The sequence below is a fragment of the Homo sapiens genome, chromosome 13 (assembly GCF_000001405.40).
Source record: "Homo sapiens chromosome 13, GRCh38.p14 Primary Assembly".
Lineage (NCBI taxonomy): Eukaryota > Metazoa > Chordata > Mammalia > Primates > Hominidae > Homo > Homo sapiens.
Genome location: NC_000013.11, coordinates 33348572 through 33371727, shown reverse-complemented (window position 1 = coordinate 33371727; position 23156 = coordinate 33348572). Strand labels below are relative to the sequence as shown.

At 43.0% G+C, this 23156-nt stretch overlaps 1 protein-coding gene across 6 annotated transcripts in view; it reads left to right on the top strand.

The window, feature by feature from the left end:
* STARD13 (StAR related lipid transfer domain containing 13) overlaps positions 1–23156 on the top strand; it is a 573658-nt gene that overhangs the window by 305067 nt on the left and 245435 nt on the right. The window contains exon 1 of one of the 6 annotated variants that reach the window (NM_001411014.1): positions 21065–21438. The exons of the other annotated variants lie outside the window; for them this stretch is intronic. Coding sequence (NP_001397943.1) covers positions 21315–21438 — 124 coding nt within the window. The 5' untranslated portion in view covers positions 21065–21314. Of the gene's footprint in view, positions 1–21064; positions 21439–23156 lie in introns of those variants that run through there. 6 annotated transcript variants of the gene reach the window in all.

The following is a 23156-nucleotide window of genomic DNA, read 5'->3' as shown; positions in this document are numbered from 1 at the left end:
CCGTTTTATTTCTCACTTTACAAATGGAAAGCAAATGAGAGCTGGTGAGTTCAAGGGACCAACCGAACATTCTCTAGCTCATCAATGGCAGAGCAAGGATGAGAACTCAGGGAGCAGGAGGGAACTCCGTGCAGTGTCGTTTTTACTATTGCGCATCACCTTCCTTCAGTGAGTCCTTTTCAGAAGCAGCATATTAATCAATTCTTGCCTTTTTAATTAGAGAAACCCTGTGCAAAGATGAAATTAAAAGATTGTTTCTTTATTATATGTTGAAATTTTTCTTAACCTTCACCATGAAAAAACAATGCTTAAAATAGCAAATATTTTTGGTAAGGTGACAAAATGCTGTCTAGTATGAAATCCTTAATGGCATCAGTCTAAAATTCATAGTGGTTGACAACTTCACACGCAGACCCAAAGAGGGTCCACTTTCTCAGTGGTTTTTCAGAAAGGACATAGTGTCTAACAGATGTTTAACCAGAGCAGATATGGGAAGAAAAAACAAGTGCTGACCTCTTCTAGAGCATACTTTCAGATGTTAGTAAGGGTGAGAGTAGACAAGACTTGGATAGCATTTCAGAGTATCTCTTTGCTCAGATGGTAGAAGCATTGACATTGAAGGAGGAAAGATAACGAAATCCTTTCTTTTATTGAGGAGGAGCCCATGTAAAATTTCTGTGAGCATAATTCATGCCTGTTTATTTAGAGATGAAGTGAATTGATCTTGATTGTGAGACAGATTTTTAGACGAAACTAACTATTTCTTTGAAATTATTATTTCTATACTTAAAGAAAATATGTCAAAGTGGCTGGGAGCGGTTGCTCACACCTGTAATCTCAGCACTTTGGGAGGCCGAGGTGGGAGGATCACCTGAGGTCAGGAGTTCAAGACCAGCGTGGCCAACATGGTGAAACCCGTCTCTACTAAAAATACAAAAAAAATCAGCCAGACATGGTGGTGGGCACCTGTAATCCCAGCCACTTGGGAGGCTGAGGCGGGAGAATCACTTGAACCTGGGAGGCGGAGGTTGCAGTCAGCCAAGGTTGCGCCACTATACTCCAGCCTGGGAGACAGAATGAGACTCTGTCTCAAAAAAAAAAAAAAAAAGAAAGAAAGAAAGAAAGAAAAGAAAAGAAAGTATGTCAAAGGAAAGCAGAGTGACATTCAGAAAATACAATTTTGTTTTACATAAGAATGCTGCAAAATACCAGGATACTGATTAAATTATAACCAAGCACCAAATAAATCCTAGAATATTTTTTAAATGGTATTAGCAGTGTTGTACGTGTATTTCTTCTTCTGAAGCTAATTGTACCGTGAAAACCATTGTTCCCTATTCTCCAGACCCTGCTGAGAGTGAGAGATGTATGGAAATTCAGCAAAAGTGGCCCATAAATATCAAAATTAACTCATTCTAGGAATTCATTTGATTCTGGGAGGATCAAATCATTTATTTGATTCTAGAAGGATCAAAGGTGGTTAGTATAGCTGTTTACAATAGATTCAGTTTAAAAAGCTCCCAGTGATTGATGGTTATATGTGCCAGGCCCTGTTCTAAGTACTTTATAAATATGATCTTATTTAATCTTTGCAACAGTCCTATGAGGCAGGGAAAATTATTGTCCCCATTTTACAGATGAGAAAGCAGAAACACCAGAGAAGCTATAAATTGTTCTGGCAAATAGCAGAGCTCAACTGGAAAACATCTAGGATAAAGGCCATGAACAATAAGCTTATGTACTTTATCATGTAGCTTCCAGTTATTTCTAATATTTTAAGCTATCATGATAATTTATCTTTTGAATGTAACACTAGAAACATCTGGAGAAATTAAAGTTAAACAATTAAAAGCTTATGAACTGATCGATATTTCTTGAATCACTTAACAGATGTTTACTGAGGGGCAACTGTGAGCCAAGCCCGGTGATTTTCTATTCCATTAATGATAAGTAACTCTCAAAGCAAGGGAAATTTCTTCCAACTGCCTTCAAAAAAAAAACTGTATGTAAAAAATATATGTAATGCACTTATATGTGCATGTATGAACATATATACACATTTTTAAACAAGTAGAAAGTGAGCTTTCAGATCCTTTGTACAAGCCTAAAACAAGTGACATTTGATTAGAAGAAAAATATGTTCTCAAGTTGATTTCCATTTGCCTTGAACTACTAGATCCGTTTCCACACCATTAACTTTGCTCAGGACAGACAAATAAGGATCCATTAGAAAACGTTCTTAACTTAAATGTAAGCTTTTTTGAAGTGGGCATTATTTTTTTGGTAACTAACGTCAAGTGCACTGAAATGGAATAAAGATGGTGATTTTTCAAGGTATTTGAAGGGAGAAAAGCTCAGCAAGAGTGGTATGCATTTTCACTGCAAAAGGCCAAATTTAATTTGGCAGTGGAGATCGAGGAGCAGGTAAGATTTCATCTGTGTCAGCAGAAAAACGAAACAACAGAGGCACCTGCCAAATGTCTCAATGCTTTCAGAGGCTGACAAGGGTGGGAGGAGGCTACTTCTGAATTGGTCTAGGATGCCTGATGAAGCTAAACAGAAGTAAAGATGTTACCCCACTTGTAGAGTGGTGGGATAAAATGCAGAACAATACAGACACCAATGCATTTTATGGGACATATAGGGAAAAATTATTTGTTTGTTTAGTTGAAATTCGAATTGAACTAGGCACCCTGTGTGTCTATTTGCTAAATCTGGTAGCCCCACTCACTTCCCAAGTCTGCAGCTCACCTGGGCTCCAAGCTACTGGTGGCTTCCATGGTCTTGGTCAGAGATGCCAGTAGGGGATATAAATGTGTTGTGCTGGAATCTCTAACAAGGAATATAGGAAGGGCCTTCCAGAAGAGTTTCCTGGAGGCCGGAAACTCCTGCCTGCCTAACCCCATGGGAGACACACCAAATGGTGGGCCGGCTCCTCCGAGTGCTGCTCGGAGGAGGGTTAGTTGGCCTGCCTCATATCCGCAGCCACCACCTTGTTTCTGTCCAGACTCTCATTCTCAAAGCTATCCTTGTCTACATTCTTATTTAAGACCCTTCACAGCGCAGGCCCTTTTGTTCCTATGTTGCTATCTCCAGCACCAAGCACAGAGCCCAGGATATAGTAGATGTCCAGTAAATGTTTCCTGAACTTGATGTTTTCAAAGGTGGTGGTGGTGGTGCTGCTGCTGCTGCTGCTGCTGTTTCTTGCTAAAAACAGAAAGGAGGAAACAGGGATAAATTGTTCCATCCTAGTCACTCATTATTTTTCTTAATTTTTGAAAGCCCATAGTGAGTGACAGAGCTGCATGCATATAATGCCTTTATACTATGTGCCCAACACAGTGTCTGGTACATAGAAGGTACCCAACAAATATTTGTTGAGTGAGTGAATGTTAATTATGACATTTGAGTATAAAGAGAGCCGGCATAGATCTATCTACGATTCTCAGGAGTACCATTTCACTGAAAGAGCTTTTCTATGTTACAGGCACTGGGCCAGGATCGAGGAGGGAGGCTGGTTAGATGTGACCTAGCTCGGGACACATTGCAAAGAGTTAGTGGGGGCTTTAAGGAGGAAGTGGAGGCAGATATGAGTCATGGGGTTTACTCCCCTGAGATAAGAAGTGTTTGAAGTAAGGGGGAGAGACTGGGGTACAAGCAGTATCAAACAGCAGTAATAAGAAAGAGAAAGAGGAAGGAAACCCCAAACCACATTATCGGGAAGCTGGGGAGAGTTCTTATAGTTACTGGGCCTTTGGAACACTTTTTCCAAATGGCCACATATCTGGCCATGACAGATGTAAATTAATATGCACTAATTGTGAGAGATTACTAAATCCTTAAATTCACCTAAAACAACACACTTTCTTAAATGTAGTTCAATTTGAAATCCTTATCACACTCCACTACAATATTGGATACAGGCAGGAAAAAAATACTTTCAGTGAGAACTGAGTTTTCCCCAAAATTGCCTCTAATTGATTTACATTATATAATAAGATAAAGGCATGCTAGATAGGCAGCCTGATGCCATCTTACTTTGGGATGCTTTTCTGATGAGGATGAAAGCAGAAACAGACCGGCTTAATGCAAATCTATCACTGAGACACTCAAGAATTAAACAAATGGCTATGAAACCATAAGGAGCTTACTGCTGGGGGTTCTAATACATGAGGTATGTTTTATTGTTGTTTTTACTATCTAAAAATTTTTTTGTCCTTCTTTTTTTTTGAGAGCTACTCACCTTTGGGAAGTGATAGTTTTAATCTTTTTTCTCCTTACTGCAGTTAACTGAATCGCAGATATCACAGACTGAATTTAATTGAAGCCAGCTTGTATGTGTCATTGATTAACTGTTTAAGGCAGAGAACTGTCTGCAGCTTTCAAAACTCAGCTTGAAGTTTTTACCCAAATGTGTGCTTTATTAGAAATAAATTGAAAGAAGATCTGGAAACAGCTGGAAACATTCTTTTTTTATGTCTAACATACATTTTGTAAAAGAAAAGTAGTCAAAAATTAAGTCATTTGAACCATGATAAAGCTCATCTCTGACCTGATAAAAAATATGCTTTTCCCTTGTTTTTGATATATTATCTCCATAGCGGCAGAAAGATCGTGAATGTGCATGCTGTTAATGCTGCCATTAATCACTTGGCTATATACTGATTTTAATGTATTTTTAAGGCAGACTTAGACTACCAGATACTTAAGTGGTATTCTCTCACAGGCCATGGGTAACCTCCTGTCATATGACTCAAAATCCCTCATAGAAAATAAACTTTTAGCTTGAATCCAAAAGGTTAGCTTTCATAAGAGTTCATCTTTGAACCCCCAGCAATAAGCTCCTTTCACTAAATGTTGATATAATATCCGGCCTATCACATGAAATCAGTGTTTGATGTTTATGAAACTCGTAGGACTGTACAAACGTGCTGTTTTATAAGGCATTAATCCAGAGGTCCAATAATATGTATAGTGAAGTTTATCTTGACAGGTAAATCAACTCATTGCTAAGTAAAATAGCCGGACAATACTATCGTTGTTACTGAGCTGCAGGTGTTTAAAGAGCTTAGTGAACTAAGGGGGAAACTTCCCAGAATCACATGGCAGGAATGCATGGTAGGGAAGGAAGCAAAGCTTGGTTAGTTGGTTAGGCAGGTGTTCAGAAAATTTAAAAGGGAAAATAAAAAATCTAAAATCCAAAGCAGGTACCCGATTAAGTTTTTATGGCCTTATTAGAAATAATAAAAGAACTAAGGTTAGAAACAGGAAGATGAAGTTATTTCTAAATAATCTTTTTTAGAATAATAAAGTGAAAGTTTTGGAGATAACCTCGCTCTGAAAATTTACAGTGTCCAGCTTACAGGGAACTTCAGTTATCTAAAAACAAACATACTGGCTATCAGCCTCAGAAATATTTATTAAATCCCTCCAGGGTCTGTGACAGAGTTCTATCCTTGATCCTGTCTTTCTTAAGCTTTCTTAATAGAATGGCAAGAAGTATTATTTGCAAGCATTTTTGACAATAGTAGTCCAGTAATATATACATATAAGTGATGCATTCATTGACATACTAAGCAAGTATAAGCCATTCTGTATCTATGATACTATACCTAGAAAAAAATTCTATATAATTTTTAATACATATATCAAAAGTGATATATATATATCACTTTTAGTGATAAAAGTCTCTAACTGGCATTATTAAGAAAACAATTGCCTAAAATTTTAAAAAGAAAACTATCAATGGATGTATTTTTGGTATGCTAATAATACCTTAATAAACATATTTAAAAACATGAGGGTGGCACAAAAAATAAAAGAAAAGCCTTGAAAAGAAATTAGGAAAAGAACAGAAAGGGATTTGTGAGCAGCAGCAATTAATGGCTCAAGTGAAAACTACTATGTTTTATAATTGTACCAAGAAAGCCATGCTGAGTAGAGAGAAGACAATCCGAGCAAAATGTTTTACTGGTCCAACACCTGACCTGCAATGAATTTATAGTTCATGGGTGAGTGTTACAGTGAGCATGATTTATTCTTCAAGGTATTAAAACCTGAAGAATTGTATTTAGTATTTAACTCTCCCACTATTCATCCACAAAGCCCTTTGATGAAATCGTGGCATTTTATCTTCTAGATAATCTTGTGTTCACTCTTGGCTGCTACTACCTAAGGGTCAAGGAGGGAAATCTCAAGTCTTGCTACCCGCCTTACCTTCCCTGGCAGGGCTCCCTTCTCCAGCCCCGACTGTCGCCGTCCAGCGTACAGAGGTGTTCAGATACACAGTTTAACCTTATAACTGTGCAGTGAATGCAGAGGCACCAGCTGTGTACTGTTGATGCACATGAGAAGCATACCTTTATTTTGCCTAGTTCCCTTTGCTCGATTAAAGGCTCTAGAAAAATCTTCCAGCACCTCCTGTTCCCAATTCCTGTTACTTTCTAGATTTCTCTATTAGGAGCCTCAAAGCTGTGGATGTTTGTTTGGTCCACCTCTTCCCACCCTTCCCCACAGACTCCCCCATTCCCTTCAGCATCCCTTTCTTACCCTCATCTCCTAGGAACCCAGGACCTTTACTGCTTGAGGCTCAGGTGAGCCTCAGTCCCTTCATTTTGTGGTCATCTCACATGTGTGGAAGGTGCCCAGCTGATTTGACTCCAGAGTTTTTTACCTCTTGCAGTCACCTCTCTCCAGAGTAAATTCCCGCAGTTTCTGTTCCTACTCCAGCCCTTTTATATGTTGTATTTGAGCCCCTTTCTGTTCTCCTGGTTTCATGTAACAGCTACCTTTCTTTTCTCATGCATACCCTATAGTTTTTCTCCTGTTTCTTTTTTTTTGAGACGGAGTCTCGCTCTGTCTCCCAGGCTGGAGTGCAGTGGCGCCATCTCGGCTCACTGCAAGCTCCGCCTCCCGGGTTCACGCCATTCTCCTGCCTCAGCCTCCCGAGTAGCTGGGACTACAGGCGCCCGCCACCACGCCTGGCTAATTTTCTGTATTTTTAGTACAGACGGGGTTTCACCGTGTTAGCCAGGATGGTCCCGATCTCCTGACCTCATGATCCACCCGCCTCGGCCTCCCAAAGAGCTGGGATTACAGGCGTGAGCCACCGCGCCCAGCCTCCTCTTTTTCTTAATCGTTATTCTATTCTCCTTTAAAACCACACACACCTTGCCCACGAGGAAGTCGTATTTTTCCCCTAGATGGGACATTTAAAAAAATATTGTTTTCCCATTCAGACACACAACAAACTTGCACGTTAAATTCATGATAAACTCTTAAATATTAAGAGTAACCCATTTCATTTTTATTATATTTTTAAAATACTGATGACTGTGCATTTATGTTTTCACAAAGAACACTCCAAACTCCCACTCTGGTTTGAGTGGAGTAAAGATTTTATTATGTTTTTAAATTTTATTTTTTGTTGAGAAGGAGCCTCATGATGTTGCTTAGGTTGGTCTCGAACTCTTGGCCTCAAGCAATCCTTTTGGCTTGGCCTCCCAAAATGCTATGATTACAGGCTTGAGTCACTGTGCCTGGCTGAGGGAAGGGGTTAATCTATGATAGCATTAGTTTTATCAAGTGTAAACTGTAGATTTGGGGGTGGGGGGGAACCTTAAGTAATGTTTTAAATTAATCAGCTTGATCAAATATTCCAAAACGTTGTTCATCACATTCACCCATAATGCATGGCTATTATGAAATTTCCTGTCATTCATGGTGATTTAATCAACTGTGACTTAATAGTTAAGTGTTTGTATGTACATTTTCTATCTTTTTAATGGATTAATGCTAAATATTTCAACATTTGGAAGGGTAACGCATAGGCATATCTAGCTTCTCTAGCCCACTCTGCAGCCCCAGTTTTCAATGCTTAATTCACTCAGTAAATATATATTGAGCATTTACTATGTTCTGAGCACTGCATTCACTACTAGGGATGCAGACATTAAAAATCCACTTCCTACCCTCAGGAGGGTTTCAATCCAATGTAGGAATAAAACTGTTACTTTGTGGGGCTTAGGTGTAACTTTAGAAAAGAAGAGTCAGTGTGCTCCAGGCAGAAGAACACGTGCAAAGGCACTGAGGCAGAGAGTGTGGTGCATTTAAGGAACTGCCAGTTCCTCTATTTCTTCTATGAGTATCTGACAAGTATTGGTGTTGAGGGTAAGAGGAAGAAAGTGTACCAGGGCCTTGAGGACAGTGATGAAGATTTAAGCTAACCACTGTGACTGTTTCTGGAAAACAGGAACCAGACCCTGCTAGAGACATGGCAAAGATTTTGCTGATAATTCTCACCCCATTGGCATCATGTCATCAGTCTGTGCAGTTCTGGAACTTCATTGACAGTGTGTGGTGGCCTGCATATAAGACTAGATAGAGGGGTTTTGCCAGATAGGCATGGAATAACTAAGAAATAAAATAGCTCTGTGTGTACATGTGTGTGTGTACTGAGAAGGTTTTGAAAGTCTGGTTCATGGAACTTAACTGAAGGCATGATGTCAAGAAAAAGGACTGATTAAGTAAAGGAAAAGCAAACAAAGATCATGAGACAAGATGAGGAATGCTAAAAGGATACAAGGTCCATATAGAAACTGAGATAAAGGTTCAAGATTCTGGAAGCACAGTGATAGTGACTTGGCCCAGCGTGTGTCCCTGGGAGTAGATGGGTGAAGTGGAGTGGAGACAAAGGTCCTGGAGTTGTGAGTTGAAATATTTAAGCTCTCCAGATGATGCAGGACAGACTCTTCTAGGATTGATAATTTCCACTGATGGCACTAGCTTTCTTGGCAAATGATGTGTGATTCCTTGAGCATCTACTGTGTATCAAACACTGCTCTAGGTGCTGGGAATCAGTTTCGGGAAAGAAAGACAAGGTCCTTGCTCTTATGGAATTTACAGTCTAGTGAAGGGGCAAGTCAAGCAAGGAATAAAAAATAATCACAAAATATTATGTGGACATACGTTCTGGTCAGAGTTTAGTGAAGTTTGATCATAAAATGGTCAGGAAAGGCTTCCAAAGAGGGGACAGCTATGCTAAGACCTAAAAGTTAAGAAAATCAAATTCAACAACCTTTGTTGTGGTGGTGGTTGACGTTGTTGTTGAGATCACCACGTGCCAAGCAATGTTCCAGGAACAGGGGATGCAAAGAGAGATAAAACAGAGACCCAGGGTTACACAAGTAAAATAGAGGTATCAATAAAATCCATTAAATCCAAAGGATTTCTCAGGACTCCAAAGATGGATTTGAACTTGTCGTTTTTCCCTTATTGATATGGTTTGGATGTTTGTCCCCTCCAAATCTTATGTGGAAATGTGATTCCCAGTGTTGGAGGTGGAGCCTGGTGGGAGGTGAATGGATCACGGGGACGGATCACTCATGAATAGTTTAGCACCATCTCTTTGGTGATGAGTGAGTTCTCACTCAGTCAGTTCACACAAGCGCTGGTTGTCCCTCACCCTTGCTCTTGCTCTTGCCATGTGATCCTTCTGCCCCCTTCCCCTTCCACCATGATTGTAAGCTTCCTGAGGCCCTCACCAGAAGCCAAGCAGATGTTGGTGCCTCGCTTGTACAGCCTGCAGAACAACGAGCTAATTAAATCTATTTTCTTTATAAATGACCCAGCTTCAGGTATTTCTTTATAGTGACACAAAAATGGCCTAACACACTAAGTAATATCAGACATTTTTATTTTAAATGGTACTTGCAAAATGATGTATAAAAATAATTACAACAAATATATTATTAGCAGTGAATGACCACTACTGAAGTGATATAGAAAATATAGTATTTTCTCATATGGAAGGTAAATGCAGTTGACCCTTTGATATAGTTTGGCTCTGTGTCCCCACCCAAATCTCATGTTGAATTGTAATTCCCAGTGTTAGGGGGTACCTGGTAGGAGGTGATTGAATCATGGGGGTGGATTTCCCCCTTGCTGTTCTCACGATAGTGAGTGAGTTCTCATGAGATCTGGTTGTTTAAAAGTGTGTAGCAATTCCCCTTTCACTCTCTTTCTCCTCTCCACCATGGTAAGATGTGCTTGCTTCTCCTTTGCCTCTTGCCATAATTGTAAGTTCCCTGAGGCCTCCCAGCCATGCTTCCTGTACAGCCTGTGGAACTGTGAGTCAATTAAACCTCTTTTCTTTATAAATTAGCCAGTCTCAGGTAGTTCTTTATAGCAGTGTGAGTATGGACTAATACATCATTGAACAATGCAGGAGTTAGGGGGACCAGGTCCTCCTACTCCCCCGAGCTACAGTCTAAAATCCAAGTATGACTTTTGACTCCCCAGAAACTTAACTACGAATAGCCTACTGTTAATTTGGAAGCCTTATCATTAGTATAAACCATTGGTTAACACGTTTTGTTATGTTACATGTATTATATATTATATTCTTTCAATAAAGTAAGTTAGAGAAGATATATTCACTATTCATTAAGTGCAAGTGGATCGTCACAAAGGTCTTCATTCTCATTGTCTTCACATTGAGTAAGCTGATGAGAAGGAAGAATAAAAGAGGGTTGGTCTTGCTGTCTCGGAGGGCAGAGGAAGAAGCAGAGGAGGTGGAAGGGGAGGCAGGCACACTCAGTGTAACTGTTTTTGAAAAAAAATCCAGGCCAGGCGCGGTGGTTCACGCCTGTAATCCCGGCACTTTGGGAGGCCGAGGCAGGCGGATTACAGGTCAGGAGATCGAGATCATCCTGGCTAACGCGGTGAAAACCTGTCTCTACTAAAAATACAAAAAAAAAAAAAAAAATTAGCCGGGCGTGGTGGCGTGCACCTGTAGTCCCAGCTGCTGGGGAGGCTGAGGCAGGAGAATGGCGTGAACCTGGGAGGCGGAGCTTGCAGTGAGCTCAGATTGCGCCACTGCACTCCAGCCTGGGTGACAGAGCAAGACTCCGTCTCAAAAAAAAAAAAAAGAAAAGAAAAAAAATCCACATATAAGTGGACCCACACAGTTCAATCCTATATTGTTCAACGATCAACAATATGTCCTTCTGTCTACACAGAAGGATTCCTTCTGTCTACACAGAAGGATTCCTTCTGTCTACACAGAAGGAATCCTTCTGTCTACACAGAAGGAAAATGTATATTAAATAATAAAAGTAATTTCCATTGCCCCAGATACTCTTAAAACTAATAACTCTCCTTTACTAACGATGTGATCATAAGGCACTAACAGGAAGACACTTAAAATTTAAAAAAATCGACTGCCGGCCAGGAGCAGTGGCTCACGCCTGTAATCCCAGCATTTTGGGAGGCCGAGGTGTGTGGATCACAAGGTCAGGAGATAGAGACCAGCCTGGCTAACACGGTGAAACCCTGTCTCTACTAAAAATACAAAAAACTAGCCGGGAGTGGTGGCACGCGCCTATAGTCCCAGCTACTTGGGAGGCTGAGGCAGGAGAATAGCTGGAACCTGGGAGGCGGGGTTTGCAGTGAGCCAAGATGGCGCCATGGCACTACAGCCTGGGCGACAGAGTGAGACTCCGTCTCAGAAGAAAAAAAAAAATCGACTGCCTTTGAACTATTTTTGTTGAAGAAAGAGGAATTACATCTTGAGGCTCCCCCATTTTTAAAACGTCATAAATTGAAAGACACTTTGTTTAAACTCCTAAGAGTTCTGTTACTGATAACAAGGAAATGTTGCAGGACGTTGGCAGAACCCAGTCTGTGTCCTCATAACCCCTTGTTTATCTGAAAGAATCAGAGACCAGTTATTTTGAAGTAATCATTCCCTTAAAATGCACTCAGTCTTAGAAATCATTTTAGATAACCAGACGTTTTCCAAGGGCTTAATGATAGATTTAAATATAAGGTGAGGTAACTCTAGATTACTTTAAAGAATGAAATAGGTTTAATCTCATTGCTGATGGAGAAGACATTTCTATACTGATCATAATATATTATCTGACAACCTCCAAATTTCTACAAACTAGTGGGGAAATAGCCTATCAAGTTAAAGGGACAACTTTGGCCATTATACTATGGCCTCTGAAGAATGGCAAGGGAGCTGTGGGGAGAAGAGAATGAGACTAGATTTTTTTTTTTTTTGAGATGGAGTCTTGCTCTGTTGCCCAGGCTGGAGTGCAATGGCATGATCTCAGCTTACTGCAACTTCTGCCTTCCAGGTTCAAACAATTCTCCTACCTCAGCCTCCCGAGTAGCTGGGATTACAGGTGTACGCCATTGTGTCCGGAATTGGTGGGTTCTTGGTCTCACTGACTTCAAGAATGAAGCCGTGGACCCTCGCGGTGAGTGTTACAGCTCTTAAGGTGGCGTGTCGGGAGTCTGTCCCTTCTGATGTTCAGATGTGTTTGGAGTTTCTTCCTTCTGGTGGGTTCGTGGTCTCGTTGGTTCAGAAGTGAAGCTGCAGACCTTCGCGGTGAGTGTTACAGCTCTTAAGGCAGCGCGTCTGGAGTTGTTCGTTTCTCCCGGTGGGCTCGTGGTCTCGCTGGGCTCAGGAGTGAAGCTGCAGATCTTTGCAGTGTTACAGCTCATAGCAGCTCATAAAAGCAGCGTGGACCCAAAGAGTGAGCAGTAGCAAAATTTATTGCAAAGAGCGAAAAACAACGCTTCCACAGTGTGGAAGGCAACCTGAGCGGGTTGCCAATGCTGGCTGGGGCATCCTGCTTTTATTCTCTTATCTGGCCCCACCCACATCCTGCTGATTGGTAGAGCCCAGTAGCCTGTTTTGTCAGGGCGCTGATTGGTGCCTTTACAATCCCTGAGCTAGATACAAAGGTTCTCCACGTCCCCATCAGATTAGTTAGATACAGAGTTTCCACACACAGGTTCTCCAAGGCCCCACCAGAGCAGCTAGATACAGAGTGTCGATTGGTGCATTCACAAACCTTGAGCTAAACATAGGGTGCTGATTGGTGTATTTACAAACCTTGAGCTAGATACAGAGTGCCGATTGGTGTATTTACAATCCCTGAGCTAGACATAAAGACTCTCCACATCCTCACCAGAGCAGCTAGATACAGAGTGTCGATTGGTGCACTCACAAACCTTGAGCTAAACACAGGATGCTGATTGGTGTATTTACAAACCTTGAGCTAGATTCAGAGTGTCGATTGGTGTATTCACAGTCCCTGAGCTAGACATAAAGACTCTCACCAGAGAGCAGATACAGACGTCCTCATCAGAGCAGCTAGATACAGAGTGTCGATTGGTGCACTCACAAACCTTGAGCTAAACACAGGGTGCTGATTGGTGTATTTACAATCCCTGAGCTAGATATAAAGACTCTCCACGTCCCCACCAGACTCAGGAGCCCAGCTGGCTTCATCTAGTGGATCCCACACCGGGGCTGCAGGTGGAGCTGCCTGCCAGTCCTGTGCCGTGCGCTTACATTCCTCAGCCCTTGGGTGGTCGATGGGACTGGGCACCGTGGAGCAGGGGGTGGTGCTCCTCGGGGAGGCTCGGGCTGCACAGGAGCCCATGGAGTGGGTGGGAGGCTCAGGCATGGCGGGCTGCATGTCCCGAGCCCTGCCCCATGGGAAGGCAGCTAAGGCCCGGCGAGAAATCGAGCGCAGCACTGGTGGGCTGGCACTGCTGGGGGACCCAGTACACCCTCCGCAGCCACTGGCCCGGGTGCTAAGTCCCTCATTGCCCGGGGCCAGCAGGGCTGGCTGGCTGCTCCGAGTGTGGGGCCCGCCAAGCCCACGCCCACCCGGAACTCCAGCTGGCCCGCAAGCGCCGCACGCAGCCCCGGTTCCCGCTCGTGCCTCTCCCTCCACACCTCCCTGCAAGCTGAGGGAGTGGGCTCCAGCCTTGGCCAGCCCAGAAAGGGGCTCCCACAGTGCAGTGGGGGGCTGAAGGGCTCCTCAAATGCCACCAAAGTGAGAGCCCAGGCAGGGGAGTTGCCGAGAGCAAGCGAGGGCTCTGAGGACTGCCAGCATGCTGTCACCTCTCACCAGCACACTCGGTTAATTTTTGTATTTTTAGTAGAGATGGGGTTTCATATGTTGGCCAGGCTGGTCTTGAACTCCTAACCTCAAGTGATCTACCCACCTCGGCCTCCCAAAGACTGGATTTAAAGATGGATGGTAAACATTTGAGTCTTGGTTCCGCAACTTATTAGCTGATGATCTTGATCAAATCATATAACTTTTCTGAATTTGTTTCCCTGCCTGTTTTGTTTTGTTTTTCTAAAGAGTAGCTGCTGACCTCATGTGCTTGTTATGTTAAATAATGCTTACAAGACGCATTATCCTGGGTAGTGCTAAACTAGAGCAAGGTCTTATTAATGATGAAATTCCTAAAGAAAATGCCATACCTACACAGATTAATTAACAAGGTGGGAGTTAGTACTGAGATATCTCCAGAAGATTTTCCTCTAGAATGTGGAACACATGCTGCCTGTCTTTAGAGATGCCAAAGGTTTGTTGAACACATATTTGTGGAATAAATATAATTGGAGTGGAGGGTTACCCCATGGAAGGTGACAAGGGTCCCAGCCCCTTTCAAGTGTCCACACCAGTAAACATACTTAATCAGCCTTGATTTATGTCAGCAGTTGGAGCACAACTAGGGCCACCAGGAGAAACCTGTGTCACTCTAGGAATACAGATCTTTGTTGAATAAATATCTTTTTATGCATGCAAGTAGGAAATGTACTTGCTCCATATGCAGATTTTCCCTAAACTTTCCTATTATTTACAATACCTTTCATTTTGATGACACTTTGAATTATAAAACACTCTCACATATAGTTTAAGTATGAGCAGGGTAGGTAGAACAAAGAGTTCTTTGCTGCATTTGACAGATAAGGAAGTCTATGTTTAGGGATATTAAATAGCTTCTATCTCTCCTACACCTTATCATTCCCAGAGCTAAGATGTGAATCCTATTCTCGTACCTCCCACATCCAGTGCTAGTTTATAATTCTCATGAGTGACTTCTTGCTGTTTAGCATGAGGCTATTCAGAATTTGGCTGGACTGGAATCTCATGAGAATTGCAGAAATGGTTTAGGCAAAATAGTAGCAACAACAACAATAGCAATTAAAATGTAATGCATGCTCATTATATGCCAGGCATCATTCTAAATATTTTGCATGTATTATTGCATTTGATCCTTGCCAAAAATCCTATGAGGGAAGCATTATTATAATCCCCATTTTATAGATGCTGAGGCTGAGGAACTCAGAAAATGGGTAACTTATGGAGATTACACAGCTAGTAGGTGCGGAGCCATGGTATGAACCTAGTTGGCTACCTCCTCTGTCTATGCCATCAGCCACTTCCCTGTACTGCCTATGGGAGCTGGGGACTGGGGCTTTCACTGCTCTTCAGATGATGTGTTCATTGACCTTAAGAAGCTCAGTAGCAATGGAAGAATGCTTCACAGTGTATGTTTGAGGTCTCAAACTACTCTATGTATACTAAGACAGTCATAACAAATTACCTAAATCGATATGCTAATGCGAGGTTGTGTGGTAAGCTAAATTACTTACTCAACCTTTATAAAACAGACAGTCTGAAGGATAGCACAAGTGATGTCAAGATGATTTCAATCACTGGAAACGTCTTCAATCCAATGGCCTGTGAATGCCATCAGAAATTTGTAAGACACTTACCCAACGTCTCCCATATGGTAATCATGGTCCCCCCAAAGTGTACATGAAAATATAGAAAGGAATTGTGATATTTGTAAAGTTGATGACCATGATATGACATTGAGCCTGAAGATTCAAAGCATTTACCAGTCTACATCAGGAAAATATGAAACACAGCCAAAGTTATTAATTGGCAATGCAGAGCTTACAGCTAACACTAAATTTTGCTTCCAAGAAAGTGTGGAGCCTGATGCTTTTTTAATTAACAGAACAAAACCCGAAAAGCAATCAAAATTGTTAGCATTCAAAGACTGGCAGATTCAGAGCATGGCAATGGGACACACAGATAGACCAATCAGGGCAGGCACAGATTGGTGACTGTGATCCAAGGACCCAGCTTGAAAAGTCAGCTTCTCCAGAACTTTCAGCAACACTTTTAAAATGAGGAAATAAGTAACATGAGATTGCATTTCACAATCTCCAACAGCATGTCCCTGAAATGGAGCGAAGGATACACCAAAGGAAGAGTTGCTACATCCCATCTCTCCTGGGAAAGGAACATGCTGCAGGGAGAGAGTTGCGAGAGCTCTTCACCCTTCTACCCTGCAGCAAAGGAAAATGGGTCTCCTCAAGGAAGGCATTTCCCCACAGCAAAGCTGCAAGCAACATGAAATAATGCACCATGACTATGGGTTCTTGGCAAAGGATTCCTGGCCTGGTACAGTTAGAAATTGGGCTCTATTCTCAAGCAAAGGGTTCCAACAAAAAAATACCGCAGCAAGCAGACCGTGGAATGTGCTTCTCCACTCTTCCATACGGGGTGATGGCACAGAATCAGAGTTGAACATGGGAGGGAAGTGGAAGGGATAAAAATGTAATGGAATTGCAGAGTTGTTGGCATTCAGATGTGTAGGTGGTGGGTGGCAAGTCCTGCTTATTGCCTGTGGTTGTGAGAGGCAATGGTGATGGGTCTTATTACATAGCAGTAAGAGAAGGAGAAAAAAATATATATCTTTTCATTTGTCAAAGTTATTTATCGCAGGATTATTTGTAATTTTAGAAATTTGGAGAAAAATATTCAAAATTGTGAAAGCTTTAAAATAAATTATAGTGTGTTTATCCCACAGAATTTTAGATATTCATTAAAAACTACATTTTAAAAGAAAATACATTGGAAAAATGCTCACAATCTACTGCTTAGTGAAAAAAAATGAAAAACTTGGTATAAAAATTCTTCCAAGTTTTTTTAATATGCAAGGAAAAAAATAAAAAGGAAAATTTTCAAATGTTATCAGCTCTCTTTTTGGTAATATTACAGGTACTTTTAATGTTTCTATTACAATTTTTGTGTTTAAAAAACTATAATTATCAGTATGTATATTTAAAATTAATAAATATTATATAAGAAAAGAGTGATAATTAATGAGAATGAAGCAATATCACCATAAGCATCCTTAAAATTTACACTTAGACTAAGGAGCAGATCCTAGTGGTAACCAGTCATTTAAAACTATAGGAATAGTCATTCAGTCAGTAAATGATCCTACTCCTACTATGTGCTGTTCACTGAAAAAGGTACAAGAGGTTGAGAAATAAAAGTTCTGTGCTAGTCCTACCTGGAGGAACTCAGGACTGCAGGGACAGCTGAGAAGAAACAGGTAAGGACACTGAACTCTGGCTCTTTGATAAGTGCTCCTCCGGCAGTATCCCCAAAGCATGGAAGAAACACAATGGAAGAGGAATCCATCCAGCCACTGGGATTTGTAGAAGGATTAAGGAGGAGGTGACATCTGAGTACATCTGAGTTGAATCTCGAAGGATGAGTGAAGAACAAAAAAATTAGGGTAAGGGCATTCAAGAACAGCTAATGTATAAAGACGTAGAGTGCAGTGAGACCAAGAGCTTTCAAATGGGACTCTTTTTATGCTGAAATTCAGGGAAGGGAAAGAGAAAACCTGAACTAAATCAGTTACTCAGGAGATAGAGAAGTGGGGGAAGATTGAAGCAGCATAGGATGTATGGAGGTGTTTCAGATGTCTTCTAGATTTCTCTCTCAGTCACTAGATGGGTGGTAGCACCAGGTGGCTCACATAGGAAATAGAGATGAAAGAGCAGGTTTGGAAGGAAAGTTTTGGAGATACCCATCCGGAAGGGAAACAATACATGGCCCTAGAGTAGAATCATTCATTTACTCTGCAAGTATTTACTGATCATAACTGTCTGGGACTGTTTTAGGCACTGAGGATGCACAAGCAAGTAAGACGGACAGGGCCTCAGCTCTTATGGAGCTCACAGTCTGCCTGGGAGACCAACCACAAACAAACAAACACAATGTCTGGAAGTGGAAGCGCTATAAGGAAAACTAAACTGGATGCCGTGAGAAGGAGCTATTTTGGTTGGGTGTCAGGGAAGGCTTCTTGAAAGGGCTCAGGATAGATTTGGGCTAGGACAGTAATGTAATTATAATAGTATTGTTGTTGGAAGCATAGGTTAAGTCTTTTCTATGTGCCAAATGGATTATTTCATTTAATCCACAATGCAATCGTCTAGGGAGGTACTACTGAGAGGCAGAAACATATGCAGAATCAAATGGGACACTGCCTTTAGCCACACTCTTAACCACATATACTTTCTATCTATAGCCTGTCAGGCCTTAAGAAGGACCATGTGAGGCCATCTGTGAAAAGGAGGAACCCAGGGGAGGGTGTCGCCTGACAGCCACGAGACAAGCCTGTGTCAGAGGAAGGAAATGGGCTACAGTGTCCAATGGTCCATGCACCCTGGAAAGGACAACAATAACTGGAACACGTTGTTAGATTTAGCAACCAGATGATTATTGGTGACCTTGGCAAGATCACGTTCATTGAGGAAGGGAGGAAGCCCAGATTGCAGTGTTGACAGGGAAAGACTTCTCTTCCCAGGGACACAGGGTAGAGGCAGTGGGCTTTAGGATGGCTGCTGTTATTTTAGTTTTGGTTTATTTAAAAGCAGGGTGAGACTGGAGGGTTGAGCCTGTGGAGAGGCAGAGATTGAGGGTATGTGAGGGAGAGGAAATAACCAATGTAGCAAAGTACCTGTAGGGACAAGAAGGGAAAGAAAGCCCAACACAGGTGAGGGACGTGGTCTCGGGCTGGAAGAGCAACACCTCTTCCGCTGCGATGGGAGGGAAGACAGTAAGCAAGAAGGTAGGTAGGGCTAGGGGGTTACCTGAGTTCTTTTCTCCTAATAGGTGATATTTTCATCTGGTGAAGGCCCCACAGGGGATGCTACCTAAGGTTCAACTTTGAAACAGATCTTGGGGAGAATGAGAGCGGATGCTGTACAGATTACTCCAAGTAGCCCTGAGGTTCCTGTTGAGGTTGGAACACTTGGCATTTGTGGCGGCTCCATCTGCACAGCTGTGTGGTTTCTTCCAACAGGGCCAGCAGCCGGGGCTGGCAGAGAGCTGGGCCATGCTGGGTGGCACACACTGCTCAGCCGGCACCTGTTCCAGGCAGATCATTTCCGTCTTTCATCTGGCTTCTCTTGGACAGTCCTCAATTCATGGGCCATCCAACAGCCAGAACTAAACAAATGTGCAATTCCAGAATTTAGTCTTCAAATTAGTCATTTAAGGAAAACTCCTAATCAATGGCATCTGAATATAAAATATGTGCTAGAATAGAAAGTAGTAGGGGCCCACGCTCTTGAGAGCTAAATGATCACTGAAATAGCTTGAATGGTTATGTTCTGTTCCCGTGTATATAATGTTAAAACTATTGCGTCTGTTTGATTCAACAAGAGGTCCCTTCTAAAAGTCAAGTATACAGCTTTCCTGGGAATGTAATTGATAAACATTTTGTTGTTACACTGTATAGCAGCCACTTTAAGACAACAGGAGTCTTGTTCTTTGCAGAGCATTTTGTTACCTCTGCATGCATACAAAGCAGAGGATGGAATCAAAAGGGTATTTGGCTTGTGTCCAGAAAGCAATCTGGATTAGTCTATATAACCGGCTGTCACAGTTTCAAGTCCGTTTCTGATCCGTGACTTATTGCTTCATAACTGACTATTTCAAAGATTTACCAGGATTCTACAAAAAAAGTATCTCATTACTTTCTAGCTCATTCTGAGGTATGTTTCACTAGTTAACATTTTTAAATATTTAAAGTAACAAAATAAGACAATAAAGACTATTTCTTACCATCATCCCTGTCATTCCCATTTTCTACCAACAAGATAAACTGATGGAGGGAATATTTACTAGAAGTGTAGCAGAAGTGTAGAGGGAATACTTTAGGTAGAGGTTAGTTTGCATTCCCTAAGTCAGTAGCAATTTATATAATAGAGGAAGGACTGAATACTTTTAATTTTCAAACTTCCTGTGGAGCACCTGGAATTAAAATGAATATCTGATTAAATTTTGGTTCTTATGTGGCAGCTTGGTACAAAGACATTTAAAAAGAAATGAGATTCAAGCAATTTTGCAGATTCAATAATTCAGAAATTCCTTTTGAAAAATTTGTTCCCCTCCCCAAACCTGAGGTGTAAGGCATTAATCACATCTCTGAATTAGTTAAATGTTGTCACAGTTACTTTCTTGGAAGACCTCAAAGCACTTCAGAAACAAAACTTTGTGAACTGCAGGACACCCCGAGGCCTGAGACAGTATTGTCTTCTCCTTATGAATGAGTTGAAGTCCAGGAAGTGGGCTTGGACTTCAGTGATGATGTATTTCTTAAAGAGCCAATACATTTCCTTCTTTCCTTCAGGAATCAGAGTTAATTTCTAACTACAAGCCTACTTTACGTTTTTGGCTAAAATACCTTAAAATTCTTCTATTTTCATATTTCACTTCTTCATAATACGTACTTCTTTCACTGCATACAGATTGTAATGCTTTCTCAAAGTATGTAAATCTATTTTAGGTAGGTTCCTTATGGTTTGACCTGAATATTTTAAAGTTATTTTTCTCCTCATAATGGCTATGCAATGGAAATAATATTTTGACACTTCAAACCGTATTAATTTAATTGTAGTTTGCAGCCAGATAATTATTTCATTGAAGAAATCAGGAAGGATTAACATAATGTTCAGATCACCAATATTGAACATCAAAAGAATGTCAACCTAACCGAGTAGCTGACTTCAAGTAACTTGAATTTAGGGAAACTGGGATGAGTTATGCTCTCACTGTGGCATATATAAATTTTTGTTGTTGTTGTTGTAGTTGTGAAGGTGGTAGTTTCTGAAACTGAAAAATAAAGGAAAGTATCAAGAAATAGGAGGAGTATGGTCCAGCCCCTGATTTCTGGGTAAAACTGGAAAAGAAGCTGGAAGCTCCTTGAGTGGGGGGCCGTGGGGACCAGGCTGTCAGGTTGGGCGAGGGAGGGAAGGGGAAGCGCGCTCCTGGAAGGAGTGGGGCGCGAGGCAGCCAGGGGGAGGGCAGGGGAGGGAGGGGAGTGGAGGAGCGCCCAACGGAGGGGAGGAGGGGAGGAGAAGGAAAGTGGGAAAGGAGTAGAGGAGTTGGCGAGCGCAGAGGTTAATAACCTAGCGCGGCGTTTCTGGTGGCCAGGCATCCCGGTCCTCGCGCGTGGCGCAGCCTCCCAGCGCCGGACCGACCCATGTCGCGCCCGCATTGGGTCCCGGGACCCCGGCGGGAGTGCCGCGTCCGTCCTTTCCAGTCGCCGGGAGTCTGAGTCGCGGGCCACGCGGGAGTGGCGGTGGAGAGCCCGCCGGTCGTTATGAGGACGGATCTAAAATGACCAGCAAACGGAAACCTTGCCAAACGCAGCTCAGGAGATCCATCAGTGAGCAGTTGCGGGACTCCACGGCCAGAGCCTGGGATCTGCTGTGGAAGAACGTCCGGGAGAGGCGGCTGGCAGGTCAGTGCCCCGGAGACGCCGCGACCCACGGGGGCGGGGGAGGCGCCGGCCCCGTAGCCCGCCCGGGCCCGCCGCCCTCCTCTGCTCTGGGCTCCAGGGCATGAGTTTCAGAGCCCAAGGCCGGGGCGAGCGGGCTGCGGGCACCACCCTCCCTGGGCCGGGCCCCGAGCGCCCTCCCGCCGCGCCTCCCGGTGGGTGTGGGCTCCGTGCCGGACGCGCGCGCTGACAGCCAGGCCTGGTGCTCCATGCTGGCGGGCCGCGGGACGGGTTACCTGGAGGGGCTGCCCCCGGGCGGCCTTTTAGCCTAGGCTGTCCCCTGCTCCGCTGCCATCCCATTCCACCCCAGTGAATAAGTGCCCAGACCAAGTGGCCCTTCGCGAGGGCTGCCCCTTCCCAACTTCGCCTTCTCCACGTGGGACACATCCACTGAATGCGCGGGAGGGAGAGTGAATGCAAGGCAAGGAGCACGTCCGAAGCGCCGCAGACCAGCCACTCGGGGGTAGAGGGGGGGATGTGACGGGAGACAGGTGGACGGTAGTTGGTGCAGGTAGCTGGCTGGCTGTCCGCAGGCCCTGCCAGCTGTGAAAGCAGGCTTTCCTCCCTTTGAGGTTGCAAGGAAAGGCCTCCCTTTGGGACTCCATTGTCCACGAACCACAGCAAGAGAGGAAGTGATTGTTTTGAGCCAGGAGGTCCTTAAGAATCCTTGCGTGGATCAGAAGGCCGCCCCCTCCTTAGTACCTCTCCCAGTGTCACACTGCCCCTTGCTGCTTCTGTGCATGCTCCATGGAGCCCTCTTTCTGTAGGGCCAAGGATGCAGTGGGCGGTCCAGCCATCTCAGAGCCTTCACTGGGAGCTTTAGGACACTTTAGTCACTGCCTCATGCCTGCCCCAATAAGGGAACGTGGCCAGACTCCACAGCACAGTTCCTGGGCAGTGCAGGGTTTAGGACCCCATTCACCAACATGTTGGCTGCTGGAAGATGCTTCGGGGACTGGGGGAAGCATGATTGGAAGGGCCCCTGAGGTGACCCTGAGGCAAGTCTCTGGACCTTGTTGCCTCTGTGTCCTCTCCAGGACTATCTCTTGAGCTGGGCAGTGACCACCACATGGGGCAGAAGAAAGTTCTAGAGAAGAAGGTCTGATGCCTAGAAAGAAGGAAAGGACACCACTGGTGAAGCGGGAGATTTAACCTTCTTTGAACTCCTCCCTTTTTTCCTTACTTGAACTGTAAAGCAAGTGGTTTGCTAGGTGTTCTGCCCTTAAACCCATGCACCCACATCCTCATCAGCCTGAAAGCATTCTGGGGAAGATGCCCAGAATCTATAGCACCTTGAGAGAAGGTCACTAGCAAGCTAAATTAGAAGTGGAGATTATGGATGATTCCAACACTCAATGTTGTAAGCATACAATGTTCATTCCACATTTTCTCTCCAACACAGTGGCCACATTTAGTGTGCACCTAAGAAATAAACAGACTTTTTTGGTTTGGACCCAGAAATAAATTGTGGTAACCCAGCAGTTTTGACTGTTGATGTTTAAAAACCTGTACATGCACTGTAGACCTCAATTAATAACAATTAGTAACTTTCCCTGTTATCATGCTAAATTGTATATTCTACATGATGGATGGTGTTAGAGAAATTTTTGTGGTCTAGTAAACTTTTGTTGCTTCATAACTTCAGAATGCTTACTGCAAATGTTTCTTTCATAGCTTCTGTT